The sequence below is a fragment of the Homo sapiens genome, chromosome 3 (assembly GCF_000001405.40).
Source record: "Homo sapiens chromosome 3, GRCh38.p14 Primary Assembly".
Taxonomy (NCBI): domain Eukaryota; kingdom Metazoa; phylum Chordata; class Mammalia; order Primates; family Hominidae; genus Homo; species Homo sapiens.
In genome coordinates this window covers 96,604,711-96,619,208 of record NC_000003.12, presented here as the reverse complement: position 1 = coordinate 96,619,208, position 14,498 = coordinate 96,604,711, and the positions used below count along the sequence as shown (strand labels likewise).

The window sequence follows — 14,498 nt, the reverse complement described above, 5'->3', positions numbered from 1 at the left end:
TCTTTTGAATAAAAAAAATGAAAACTGAGTAATTTCTAAAAAAAATTCAAGAGAACAATATGATCTGATTTTCTTACAGTTTTCTAGTTATAAATTTATTCTAATAATTCAGTGTCTTAGCCATCTTTTATTTAATTTTATTATTATTATTTTGAGACAAAATCTCGCACTGTCGCCCAGGCTGGAGTGCAGTGGCTCAATCTCCGCTCACTGCCACCTCCACCTCCCAGGTTCAGGAGATTCTCGTGCCTTAGCCTCCGGGGTAGCTGGGACTATAAGCACCCGCCACAAACCTGGCTAATTTTTATATTTTTAGTAGAGATGGTGTTTCACCATGTTGACCAGGCTTGTCTCCAACTCCTAATCTCAAGTGATCTGCCTGCCTTGGCCTCCCGAAGTGCTGGGATTATAGGCGTGAGCCACTGTGCCGGCCAGCCATGTTTACACAGCTAACATAAACATGTAATACACAATTCTAAGAGTAAACTGAAAAAATAATTTTTCTATTCTACTTAATGTTCATTTGAAAACCAAATGACTACTGCATAAGAAATTCGTATTCAAAATAAAAGAGCATATAGATTTTACAGTTTATACATAAGGCGTCTTATTTATATAATCTCATTTAAGTTTACCAATAATTACCTTAGTGACATTATTATGAAATACTTAAAAAAATTTAGCTCCCCATGAGGGAGCTTATGAAATTTAAGGGTCGAAGGTGGATTTAGCAGTAAACTAAGTGTAGAGTGCTTAGTTGAACAGGGCCCTGAAGCGCATACACACCGCCCGTCACCCTCCTCAAGTATACTTCAAAGGATATTTAACTAAAACCCCTACGCATTTATATAGAGGAAACAAGTCGTAACATGGTAAGTGTAGTGGAAAGTGCACTTGGACGAACCAGAGTGTAGCTTAACATAAAGCACCCAACTTACACTTAGGAGATTTCAACTCAACTTGACCACTCTGAGCCAAACCTAGCCCTAAACCCGTTCCACCTTACTATCAAATAACCTTAACCAAACCATTTACCCAAATAAAGTATAGGCGATAGAAATTGTAAACCGGCGCAATAGATATAGTACCGCAAGGGAAAGATGAAAAATTATAACCAAGCATAATACAGCAAGGACTAACCCCTGTACCTTTTGCATAATGAATTAACTAGAAATAACTTTGCAAAGAGAACCAAAGCTAAGGCCCCCGAAACCAGACGAGCTACCTAAGAACAGCTAAAAGAGCACACCCGTCTATGTAGCAAAATAGTGGGAAGATTTATAGGTAGAGGCGACAAACCTATCGAGCCTGGTGATAGCTGGTTGTCCAAGATAGAATCTTAGTTCAACTTTAAATTTACCTACAGAACCTTCTAAATCCCCTTGTAAATTTAACTGTTAGTCCAAAGAGGAACAGCTCTTTGGACACTAGGAAAAAACCTTGTAAAGAGAGTAAAAAATTTAATACCCATAGTAGGCCTAAAAGCAGCCACCAATTAAGAAAGCGTTCAAGCTCAACACCCATCGTCTAAAAAATCCCAAACATACAACTGAGCTCCTTACACTCAATTGGACCAATCTATTACCTTATAGAAGAACTAATGTTAGTATAAGTAACATGAAAACATTCTCCTCCGCATAAGCCTACATCAGACCAAAATATTAAACTGACAATTAACAGCCCAATATCTACAATCAACCAACAAGCCATTATTACCCTCACTGTTAACCCAACACAGGCATGCCCACAAGGAAAGGTTAAAAAAAGTAAAAGGAACTCGGCAAATCTTACCCCGCCTGTTTACCAAAAACATCACCTCTAGCATTATCAGTATTAGAGGCACCGCCTGCCCGGTGACATATGTTTAACGGCCGCGGTACCCTAACCGTGCAAAGGTAGCATAATCACTTGTTCCTTAAATAGGGACTTGTATGAATGGCTCCACGAGGGTTCAGCTGTCTCTTACTTTCAACCAGTGAAATTGACCTACCCGTGAAGAGGCGGGCATAACATAGCAAGACTATGTTACTACATACAACTAACATGTTACTGAGCAAGTTTTTCTCAAAAAAGTAGAATGCTAGGATTATAGAAAAATAATTAAAATAATACATTTCACCCTTAAAAGGAGCTATTAGCAAACTGGAAGGTATAGATATACATGAAAAATATATTTTATATACACATGTACAAGTATCAAATAATTTTATTTTAAATGTGTGTGTGTATACACACATACAAGTACCAAATAGTTTTTCGATTTGCATTCTATCTTCTAAACAAAGAACCAACATGTTGCTTTATTGCTAAGAAATGGAAAAAAAATACATAACAGTTAAGATAAAAATACAAACTACACAGAATTTAAACAAATATTTTTCCACTTAAGTCCTAAACAATTGTCAATATACAGTCAACAATAAGTCAGCATGAACCAAATGTGTTTGACAGCTAATAACGGATATTATTTTCAACTTTTCTAATATTAAAACCTCATTTTTCATTCAGAATCAATAAGCACATTAAGAATATTTCATTTGAAACCCAGTAGAAGTATGATGTCAGTCACACTTAGTGAGACTGTATTAAATTAGCAGTTTTTTGAAACTTGATAAAATCATTTTCCATAGTTACAACTTTTAAGAGAAGAAAAACTATAGTAGATCATTTGAGAATCCAAGAGAGCAGAATGAGTTTAAGTCAGTGTCTAATGGTCTATGGTAGGTATGTAAAAAATAAAATACATAAATTGAAAAATATATAATTCACTGTACAAGTACTTATGGAGTATCTATTATGTGTCGCATACTAGTCTAAAATGCATTTATTTATTAGTTACTCTCATTTTCATATACTTTGGAAATTTTATGAATTCTGTGTTATAGTTTGGTCTAATGAGGTCCTTGAGTTCAAGCAATATTTGACTTCTAATCCTATATTCCTCCCTTGCTCCATCAACTTCTGCTTTAACGATAGCACTGTCATTCTGAGGTCTAATATAGGCTGAATTCTGGAAGAAAATAGTGCATTAAACAACGGGGACAGTCCTTTTCTCTTTAGCCTCAGGAAAGATAAATTTCTAACATTTAACTATTAAAAGCTGTTTCCATATGCTAGACATTGCTATAATAGTAACTTTAAAATAAACTTTTAAATAAACTTTAAAATAAAGTCCTACGCTGTGGGTCATAGTCACCCCCCATCTTAAAGAACATGTTATGTAACTTTCCTAAAGCCATACAGCTAATGAATGATGGAGCCTAGAGTCTCTGCACTGCACAGCCTGTGACCTACCACAAAGATATTTCTATGATCCTGGGGTAACTTCCTTGCTTACAACTTTGGAACTGAAACAAATATTTTCATAAGTCAACTTTCCATTTGTATTTGGTAGTGAAACAAACAACAGAGAAGAGTTGCCATCTTTTCACCAACTGCAGCATAACTCCTCCTATATAATTTCTGAATGAGCGGGTAAATATTGTAGACTATGTGTTCATGAAAGGGGACATGGAAGTGGTGGTTATTTCTTGAAATGTGTCAGTGTTGGCACAAGTGGATTTTTGGACTTTATTATTCATGTTGGCTACCTATAAAAATAAAATGTAATCCTATCGCACTATTTTCACATCTTTAACTTTAGTCTAAACCACAATCATTTTTTTCCTGTTGCAGGAAGTCAGGGACCCCGAACAGGGGGACAGGCTGAAGCCATGGCAGAAGAACATAAATTGTGAAGATTTCATGGACATTTATTAGTTCCCCAAATTAATACTTTTATAATTTCTTACTCCTGTCTTTACTGCAATCTCTGAACATAAATTGTGATGATTTCATGGACACTTATCACTTCCCCAATTAATACCCTTGTGATTTCCTATGCCTGTCTTTACTTTAATCTCTTAATCCCATCATCTTCGCAAGCTGAGGAGGATGTATGTCTCCTCAGGGCCCTGTGATGATTGCGTTAACTGCACAAATTGTTTGTAGAGCATGTATGTTTGAACAATATGAAATCTGGGCACCTTGAAAAAAGAACAGGATAACAGCAACGTTCAGGGAACAAGAGAGATAACCTTAAACTCTGACTGCCGGTGAGCCAGGTGGAACAGAGCCATATTTCTCTTCTATCAAAAGCAAATGGGAGAAATGTCGCTGAATTCTTTTTCTCAGCAAGGAACATCCCTGAGAAAGAGAATGCATCCCTGAGGGGAGGCCTCTAAAATGGCCGCTTTGGTGGGGCGGCTGTCTTTTACAGTCGCAGCTGTGGGATGAAATAAGCCCCGGTCTCCAGTAGCGCTCCCAGGCTTATTAGGATGAGGAAATTTCTGCCTAATAAATTTTGGTCAGACTGGTTGTCTGCTCTCAACCCCTGTCTGCTGATAAGACGTTATCAATGACAATGCCTGCCCAAAACTTCATTAGCAATTTTAATTTCACCCTGGTCTTGTGGTCCTGTGGTCTCACCCTGCCTCCATCTACCTTGTGATATCTTATCATCTTGTGAAGCATGTGATCTCTGTGACCCACACCCTATTTGTACACTCCCTCCCCTTTTGAAAATCACTAATAAAAACTTGCTCGTTTTATGGCTCAAGGGGCATCACGGAACCTGCCGATGTGTGATGTCTCCCCTGGACACCCAGTTTTAAAATTTCTCTCTTTTGTACTCTGTCCCTTTATTTCTCAGACCGGCCGACACTTAGGGAAAATAGAAAAGAAACTACGTGAATTATCAGGGGTGAATTTTGCCCGATATTTGCCTGTATTCATATTGTAATAGCCTCCTACTTCTTCCTACTTCCTCCCAGTTCTGTTTTAGACTATGTGCAACACCATTGCTAAACTAATCCTGTCAAGGAAGATAATGTCATTCCTGTTCAAAACTCCACAGTGAGTTTGCATGTCACTTAGGGTAAAATTGGCCCCCTCCTCTCTACCCTGTTCCTCTTCTGCTATCCTCCTTCTGGTTGGCCTCCTTACTGTTCCTTCATACATGCCAAGCATGATCACACTATAGGATATTTGCTCTTTGCCCTTTCAGCTGCCTGGGATGTGCTTCTCTCCAGTATCCACATATCTCAATTCCCTCTTTTCCTTCAAGTTTTAAAGTATCATCAGTGATGCCTTCCCTGGCCATCTCTACCTGAGTAGAGTTTCCATTGCTCTTCCTGGTTCACTTTTTATTCTTAGAAAACATCAATGTCTGGTACAGTATATACTTCTTATGTATCTTGCTTCCTGTCAACTGAAGAATGATGAGGTTCATAAATTTGGAAAGGAGAGCTTTATTTCTCAGAAAGGGTTGCAGCCTGCAGGGTGGCCATCAGGCTAGAAGCCAGAAACAGGTACTTCTAGGGTGGGAAGAATAATATAGGAATTTATGCTGAACAGAGAAGGTGAATATATATATATATATACACATACATACATACATATATATTTAATAAGCTATAAGAGGAGTTATGAACATTTATGAGAGGTGAAACATGTGCATTTGCAGATGATCTTCATGCTTTCCCAAGGGTCCTTCTTCAAAAAACGGCAGTGCTAGCATGATTCAAGGGTGGAGTTTTCTGCCCTTTGACATCCAAAGGTGAAACTGAGGACATGAAAACCCTCACTGAGCATCCTCTGTACATTGGACAGAACCACTCCGTGCTTGGTGGTCTGTTGACAGGAAGGAATGCTGGTTGGTTGTTTTATCACAACTACAAAAGGGAGGGGCAGTCACAAAGATGGTTCAAATCAGTGGTGGAGGAAGTCTTTCCAAAGGGTTAGTTTCTGTCTAACCCTTTAGGAAAAAATAAAGTCTAATGGTGGTTAGCAGGGGAGGAGGTATAAAGAGACATGTCCAGCTTCCCATCTGGTCATGGCCGGGAACTCAGTTTGCAAGGTTTGTCTGGGTCCTCTTGGCTAACAGGGGGCCCATTCATTTAGTTGGCAGCTTAGGATTTTATTTTTATTTCTCATTTCTTATGCATAATATGTTTTTTTTTGGTAGCTGTAGACTAGACATGGAAAACAAAAATTGTCATATAGAAAGAACTCAATAAATATTTATTTGTTGAAAGATCCAAAGAATGAGCCATTGGCCAGGTGTGGTGACTCACGCCTGTAATCCTAGCACTTTGGGAGGGCAAGGCGGGCATATCGCCTGAGGTCAGGAGTTTGAGACCAGCCTGGCCAACATGGTGAAACCCCTTCTCTACTAAAAATACAAAAATTAGCCAGGTGTGGTGGCAGGCTCCTGTAATCCCAGCTACTCGGGAAGCTGAGGCAGGAGAATTGCTTGAACCCGGGAGGCAGAGGTTGCAGTGAGCCGAGATCACGCCATTGCACTCCAGCCTGAGGGACAAGAGTGAGTCTTTGTCTCAAAAAAAACAAAAAAGAAAAAGAAAAAAAGAAAAAAACAGAAAGAATGAACCATGAATCATCAGATGGACAAAACACTGAACCGAGCTGACATACTCTAGGACAAAATATTGCAAATCAATTTGAAAATACCAGTTTTACCCATTCAGGCAAAAAATCAGATTGGTTGTTTAATTCTATTATTTAAAGTACTTTTTAACACTTTCTTGTCATTGTTGACTATCATACTGCTGCTAAAGTTGATATGGACCAGGGAAACACATAGTAGCTATGAAATGTGCTTCTGTAACACCCTAACTGTCCAATATTGCCTGCTGATCCCTTCCCTCTTTAACCTTGCTTACTGAATTTGCACAGGAATCCAAATCTTAGACTCTACCTGTAATAAAATAAATTATTCCCTTCAGTCTATAGAAACCTCTTTAAGGACAGTCTAGTGAATGATACTCTAGTAATTTTTTTTTTCACCCAGCACCCAGTGTTTCCACCCTATTCTGAGTGCCCCCCTGCCAGAAAAGAAGCCAGCATAAAACAAACTGAAACACACACACAAAACCCAGACCTTCCTGTTTTCAATATACACCATACTTTCTCACAGCTACACAACTTTGAACATTTCCTTCCCTCCACCTTATTTCTTTCCCCTTTTATCTGCCATCCCACCAGCTGAGTCTTTTCTGTCAACCTGTGGAGCCGTTGTTGGTTCTGTTCACCACTGGATCCTTAACACTTAGTTCAGGGGCTGGGACCTGGTAGGTGATTAATATTTGGTGAGGCCTTGGGGTGACTTGGGTGCTGAAGTCCTTCTGTTTTGTATTCTGATTATTATGGTTGTAGCAAATATTTTCAGACATTGATTTAAATTCCTAAACTTGAAACTTTTTGAAACAGTGTTTTGTTTTTGTTTTTTGAACAACATTCTTGCTTCACACTGAATGATGAGTAAAAATTACCTAAGTGAAGGAATAAATGTTGGAGTCACATGCAGTGGCAAATGTGAAAGAGAATATATTTCAGATTGTGACAGGAAATTTGTTATCAGGCTGCCTTAAAAAGCAATTACAATAACAAGCATGTTTACATAAAAATATCACTTTCTATGACCACATGTGACTTTCCAGAAAGTGACTGAGTGTATATTGAGCGCAAAAGAAGAAGAAGAAGAAAAAAACCCAAACAGCAGAATAAGTAGGCAGAAACAAAGGGTAAAGATTTAGAATTCATGGAAATATTAAAATGAAAGAAAACAAATTATGGGTCTTGGAACCAAGAACCAAGTGGATAAGGTTTGACATAAAGGGAGTATGACAATCATTCTTTGCGGGAGAATTAAAAAAAAAAAGTCTGCCCAGGTGTGGTGGCTCACACCTGTAATCCCAGCACTTTGGGAAGCCGAGGCAGGTAGATCACAAGGTCAGGAGATCAAAACCATCCTGGCTAACACGGTGAAACCTGTCTCTACTAAACATACAAAAAATTAGCCGGGTGTGGTGGTGGGCGCCTGTAGTCCCAGCTACTCTGGAGGCTGAGGCAGGAGAATGGCGTGAACCTGGGAGGTGGAGCTTGCAGTGAGCCGAGATCATGCCACTGCACTACAGTCTGGTTGACAGAGTGAGACTTCATCTCAAAAACAAAACAAAACAAACAAACAAACAAACCTGTCTATATTTCTCCTATTTAAAAATAAAATGTAAAGTGAGCTGATTACATTTCTATTAACATAATTTTTGGTTTTACATAAAACTAAAAGTTTATTTTTAAGAAAAAAGTAACAATTTTAATTTTTCTATGCACAAAATAATAAAAGTATTATTGTTTTATGGAAAGATCAAGTCTTATGAATAGCATGCTTTATTTTAGCAATATTCATAACATTAATGTGTAAAACTCAAACATTTACTCGTTTACCATTGGGTGTTATATACATTACAGACATTCTTTAGGGTATAGAGGAAGAATTTTTCATTGTGTAGCTGTTTAATTATATACATTCATAAGAATGTTAAAATTATAATTTTACGTAGCGATTTTGAGCAAAACTAAATTCAATATCAGATATGTTTCACACAAATGTTTTAAATGGTCAAAATCAAGTGTTTCTCCTTTATATAATGTTTTTATTTAACGTATTATTAAACAAAACATTTAATTTACTTTTATGCTAAAATCTAAGAATCTTCTCTAGGGATCCAGGCTTTTTTATGAAGCATCTTTTGTGAGCTAAGGCCTGGGTTAGGGACGAGGGATGTAGATAAAAATGATGTAAAGTTCTGGATTTCCACAAGCTCAATTGTTATCAAAAAGAAAAAAAAATGTAGACATAAAAATTGCAATGTAATTTTGTATGTACAAAACTGTGGTAAAGAACTTAAAAGATTTGGGGAACATAGGAATGACCCTGCATAAGTAAAATGAGAAGATCTTTGAGAGAAATCATGTCTATGTTGTTCTTTAGTGATTTTATTTTCTATTATTCATTGTCAAGGAGAAAGGGAGCGTTCTAGACAAAGAATTGCTCAAAATCACTGAGTAAATAAAAGGAGGAGTGTCGAGACTGATGCAAGTACAGGGTTACTCAGAAAGCTACGGTGAGAAGAGGCCCTGAAGACACATTTCTGCAAACTTTAACAGGGCCTGAGTGTCATATGACAGGAGTTCAGTAAACTGGGAGTGAGAAAGCTGAGCTCTGAGGTGCCTGAATAGCCAATTAAAGCAAGAAGCCAAAAATGTGCAAGAAGTTAGGCTTTACTCTTTTATGATGATATAAGCAAAAGGCTAAAATTAGAGAAAGCATGGACCCTCTCTTGCATTTTGCCCTATAAAACAGAGCACAGGTCAGAACAGATGTGAGAGTCATCTTACTACTGAGGGAGTCCCAAACAAAAGGTCTCGCAGTTTTACGGACCTTCAAGTAGTGGAGAGGATGAGGGAGAAGTTCTAAACATGGAAATGTATTGGGCATTGAGTGAGAGTCTCCCCAACCTCCCCTACCCAGCCTGCCACCGCTCCAAGGAACATTTGGCAGGGGTACCTGAGAGGGACCTCAGCCCAGGGGGACTCAGATGAAATGACCTATGAATGGAGGTATCCTACTGGGGCTGTACATGCAAAGATGCAAAGAGCTTGACTGGCCAGGTGGGGCCAGAGTCATTGCCTGCTGCTGCCTTCAGACACTGCAGTGCTGTGACTGTTCACCGCATCTGCGGTGGGGAAGGCAGCTTTTTCCTAAGCCTCCCAGGTGAAGGGTTTATAATCACCAGACTGGATCTGGAAAATTACCCAAAGTTTTTCACTGGAAGCTGGACTCCTCACCATGGTAAGAGCAGTACAGACATCATGATGTAGACAGTGGGCAAGTATAAGTGATTTGGAAACGTGGGAGTGGCATGATGAAATTTTCAGGCTAACAACCCTGATGACAATGTGAGAGTGGACTGGTTGGGGCCTGTTGCCAACAAGAAAAATGGCTGAGAGACAGTCTCAATAGTTCCAGTATGCAATTTTAAACCTCCTGAAGGCCTTTTGTTCAGCTAAGAGATTTCCAGGATAATTTTGAAATCACTAAGTCTAGACATGAGGATTCTAAGCCACCCATCTTTCAACTCCTCTTTATTAAGGAAAAGTATGCTTAGAATTAAGGTATTGGGTTTGCTTCTTTGCCTGCATCTGTACTTGTTGCAACTCTTCTTTTCCATTAATGATTGAGAGGTGGGAACTGAGTCCAGTGTTCTCATATACTTATTAAGGAGATCCCATTTGATCTCTTTCTTGGCCTTCCAGAACTTCTTTCAATATCTGACATGGAAATAGTATGATCAGTGGAGTTATATAGTGTTAGGGCTCTGAGATCCATTGCACAGCTAGCTTTCTAGATACTTGTTCCTGCAGTTGAAATGATCAAAAGTATTTTTGATCAGTGCTCGCTTCGGCAGCACATATACTAAAATTGGAATAATACAGAGATTAGCATGGCCCCTGTGCAAGGATGACATGCAAATTCGTGAAGTGTTCCATTAAAAAAATAAATGAAAGTATTTGGATCGTTGTATGATATTTATTTTAAAATGCAGCAATGTTGCAAATGCTGCAAACTAATTTATTATGAATCAATGTGTTTATGAGTTGATATATTTACACTTCTATTCATATTTGAAGAAATATCAGTGAGTAGTAATGGTCTAAAACCATATAATATGCTTTTAGAGTTGCTATGGTAACTTATTTTCTTGGAAAATCTAATAGATGTTTGGAAACCTGCCATGGTTACTTATCAGCTATTGGAGAAATAGCACTGCATCTTGTTTTTTAAAAAGATCTGCTTATTTATTAACTTTACTGTAAATTTCCATAAATTTTAGCAATATGAACTATTTTTAATTAGTATCAATTGAAAGGATTATAATATTTTCAAATAGTTAAGAAAATATAAATATAAACAAATAATCAATAAAGCATGAAATTAAACATACTCCTAGCATATGATCTAGCAATCTTGCACCTTGCTGTTTACCCAAAGTAGTTGAAAATATACATCCACACAAAAATGTTGATGTTTGTAACAGCTTTACTAAAGATTATCAAAACTTGGAAGCAACCAACATGTCCTTCAGTAGGTGAATGGATAAACTGTGGCACATCCTTGTCATCCAGTGACAAAGAAATATTATTAAATGTTAAAAAATATGAGCTATCAAGCCATGAAAAGACATGAGGGAAACTTAAATGTCCATTACTAGATGAAAGAAGCCAATCTGAGACAGCTCCATACTGTGTAATGCCAGCTACATGACATTCTGGAAAAGGCAAAACCATGGAGACAGTAAAAAGCTTAGTGGTTGTCAGAGTTTAGTGGGGAGTGAGGGGTAATAGGGAGAGCACAGATGATTTTTAGGACAGTGAAACTACTCTATATGATAACTATAATTTTGGGTACATGTCATCATAACTTGTTTCAAACCCAAAAATAGGCAACATTAAGAATTAACCCTTATGTATACTATGAACTTTGGGTGATTATGATGTGTCAATGTAGGCTCATCAATTGTAACAAATATACTACCCTGGTGGGAAATGTTTAAAAAAGATCTGGGAAAATATAGCACAGACAAATTTTTGACAAATATTATTGAGAAAGAAAAGCAGAGAAAAAGTACCATTCAATGAAATTATTAAAACAAAAAACAAGTAGACAGAAGTTAAAATTTAGACAGTTTCTCATTTGTACAAATTTTGAATTAAATAAGACAAAAGCAAAATACCTTTATGAGAAAATATACAATCCAGAATTTTTAGAAGTGATCAAGCTATAAATTAATAATTCAGAAAAAAAAATAAAAATATAATAAAGGGAGGTTCCAAGATGGCCAAATAGGAATAGCTCCAGTCTACAGCTCCCAGCATGAGTGACACAGAAGACGGGTGATATCTGCATTTCCAACTGAGGTACCGGGTTCATCTCACTGGGGCTTATCAGACAGTGGGTGCAGGACAGTGGGTGCAGCACAGTGAGCATGGGCTGAAGCAGGGTGAGGCATCACCTCACCCAGGAAGCGCAAAGGGTCAGGGAATTCCCTTTCCTAGCCAAGCAAAGCTGTGACAGAGGGCACCTGGAAAATTGGGTCACTCCCACCCTAATACTGTGCTTTTCCAATGGTCTTAGCAAGCGGCACAACAGGAGATTATATCCCGCTCCTGGCTTGGAGGGTCCCATGCCCACAGAGCCTCACTCATTGCTAGCACAGCAGTCCAAGTTCGAACTGCAAGGATGCAGCGAGGCTGGGGGAGGGGCGCCCACCATTGCTGAGGCTTGAGTAGGTAAGCAAAGTGGCCTGGAAGCTTGAACTGGGTGGAGCCCACCGCAGCTCAAGGAGGCATGCCTGCCTGCCTCTGTAGACTCCACCTCTGGGGGCAGGGAATAACTGAATAAAAGGCAGCAGAAACCTCTTCAGACTTAAATGTCCCTGTCTGACAGCTTTAAAGAGAGTAGTGGTTCTCCCAGCACAAAGTTTGAGATCTGAGAATGGACAGACTGCCTCAAGTGGGTCCCTGACCCCCGAGTAGCCTAGCTGGGAGGCACCCCCCAGTAGGGGCACTCTGACACCTCACACGGCCAGGGACCCCTCTGAGGTGAAACTTCCAGAGGAATGATCAGGCAGCAACATTTGCTGTTTAGCAATATTCACTGTTCTGCAGCCTCTGCTGCTGATACCCAGGCAAAGAGGGTCTGGAGTGGACCTCCAGCAAACTCCAACAGATCTGCAGCTGAGGGTCCTGACTGTTAGAAGGAAAACTAGCAAACATAAAGGACATCATCACCAAAACCCCATCTGTACGTTGCCATCATCAAAGACCAAAGGTAGATAAAACCACAAAGATGGGGAAAAAAACAGAGCAGAAAAACTGAAAATTCTAAAATCAGAGCACCTCTCCTCCTCCAAAGGAACACAGCTCCTTACCAGCAATGGAACAAAGCTGGACGGAGAATGACTTTGATGAGTTGAGAGAAGAAGGCTTCAGACGACCAAACTTCTCCGAGCTAAAGAAGGAAGTTCAAACCCATCGCAAAGAAGTTAAAAACCTTAAAAAAAGATTAAACGAATGGCAAACTAGGATAACCAATGTAGAGAAGTCCTTAAATGACCTGATGGAGCTGAAAACCAAGGCATGAGAACTATGTGACGAATGCACAAGCTTCAGTAGCTGATTTGATCAACTGGAAGAAAGGGTATCAGTGATTGAATATCAAATGAATGAAATGAAGCGAGAAGAGAAGTTTAGAGAAAAAAGAATAAAAAGAAATGAACAAATCCTCCAAGAAATATAGGACTATGTGAAAAGATCAAATCTATGTCTGATTGGTGTACCTGAAAGTGATGGGGAGAATGGAAACAAGCTGGAAAACACTCTTCAGCATATTATCCAGGAGAACTTCCCCAATCTAGCAAGGCAGGCCAACATTCAAATTCAGGAAATACAGAGAATGCCACAGAGATACTCCTCAAGAAGAGCAACTCCAAGACATACAATTGTCAGATTCACCAAAGTTGAAATGAAGGAAAAAATGTAAAGGGCAGCCAGAGAGAAAGGTCAGGTTACCCACAAAAGGAAGCCCATTGGACTAACAGTGGATCTCTCGGCAGAAACTTTACAAGCCAGAAGAGAGTGGGGGCCAATATTCAACATTCTTAAAGAAAAGAATCTTCAACACGGAATTTCATATCAAGCCAAACTAAGCTTCATAAGTGAAGGAGAAATAAAATACTTTACAGACCAGCAAATGCTGAGAGATTTTGTTACCACCAGGCCTGCCCTACAAGAGCTCCTGAAGGAAGCACTAAACATGGAAAGGAACAACTGGTACCAGCCATTGCAAAAACATGCCAAATTGTAAAGACCATTGATGCCAGGAAGAAACTGCATCAACTAACGAGCAAAATAACCAGCTAACATCATAATGACAGGATCAAATTCACACATAACAATATTAACCTTAAGTGCAAATGCGCTAAATGTTCCAATTAAAAGACACAGACTGGCAAATTGGATAAAGAGTCAAGACCCATCAGTGTGCTGTATTCAGGAAACCCATCTCACCTGCAGAGACACATATAGGCTCAAAATAAAGGGATGTTGGAAGATCTACCAAGCAAATGTAAAACAAAAAAAGGCAGGGGTTGCAATCCTAGTCTCTGATAAAACAGACTTTAAACCAACAAAGATCAAAAGAGACAAAGAAGGCCATTACATAATGGTAAAGGGATCCATTCAACAAGAAGAGCTAACTATCCTAAACATATATGCACCCAATACAGGAGCACCCAGATTCATAAAGCAAATCCTTAGAGACCTATAAAGAGCCTTAGACTCCCACACAATAATAATAGGAGACTTTAACATCCCACTGTCAGCATTAGACAGATCAACAAGACAGATAGCTAACAAGGATATCCAGGACTTGAACTCAGCTCTGCACCAAGCAGAGCTAACAGACATCTACAGAACTCTCCACCCTAAATCAACAGAATATACATTCTGCTCAGTGCCACATCACACTTTCCATTCCAAAATTGACCACATAGTTGGAAGTAAAGCACTCCTCAGCAAATGTAAAAGAAGAGAAATCA

The 14,498-nt window shown here is 38.9% G+C and overlaps 2 pseudogenes; both read left to right on the top strand.

Annotated features, from left to right (window-relative positions):
* Positions 986-2,023, top strand: MTRNR2L12 (MT-RNR2 like 12 (pseudogene); annotated as a pseudogene).
* On the top strand, positions 10,292-10,389 carry RNU6-1094P (RNA, U6 small nuclear 1094, pseudogene; annotated as a pseudogene).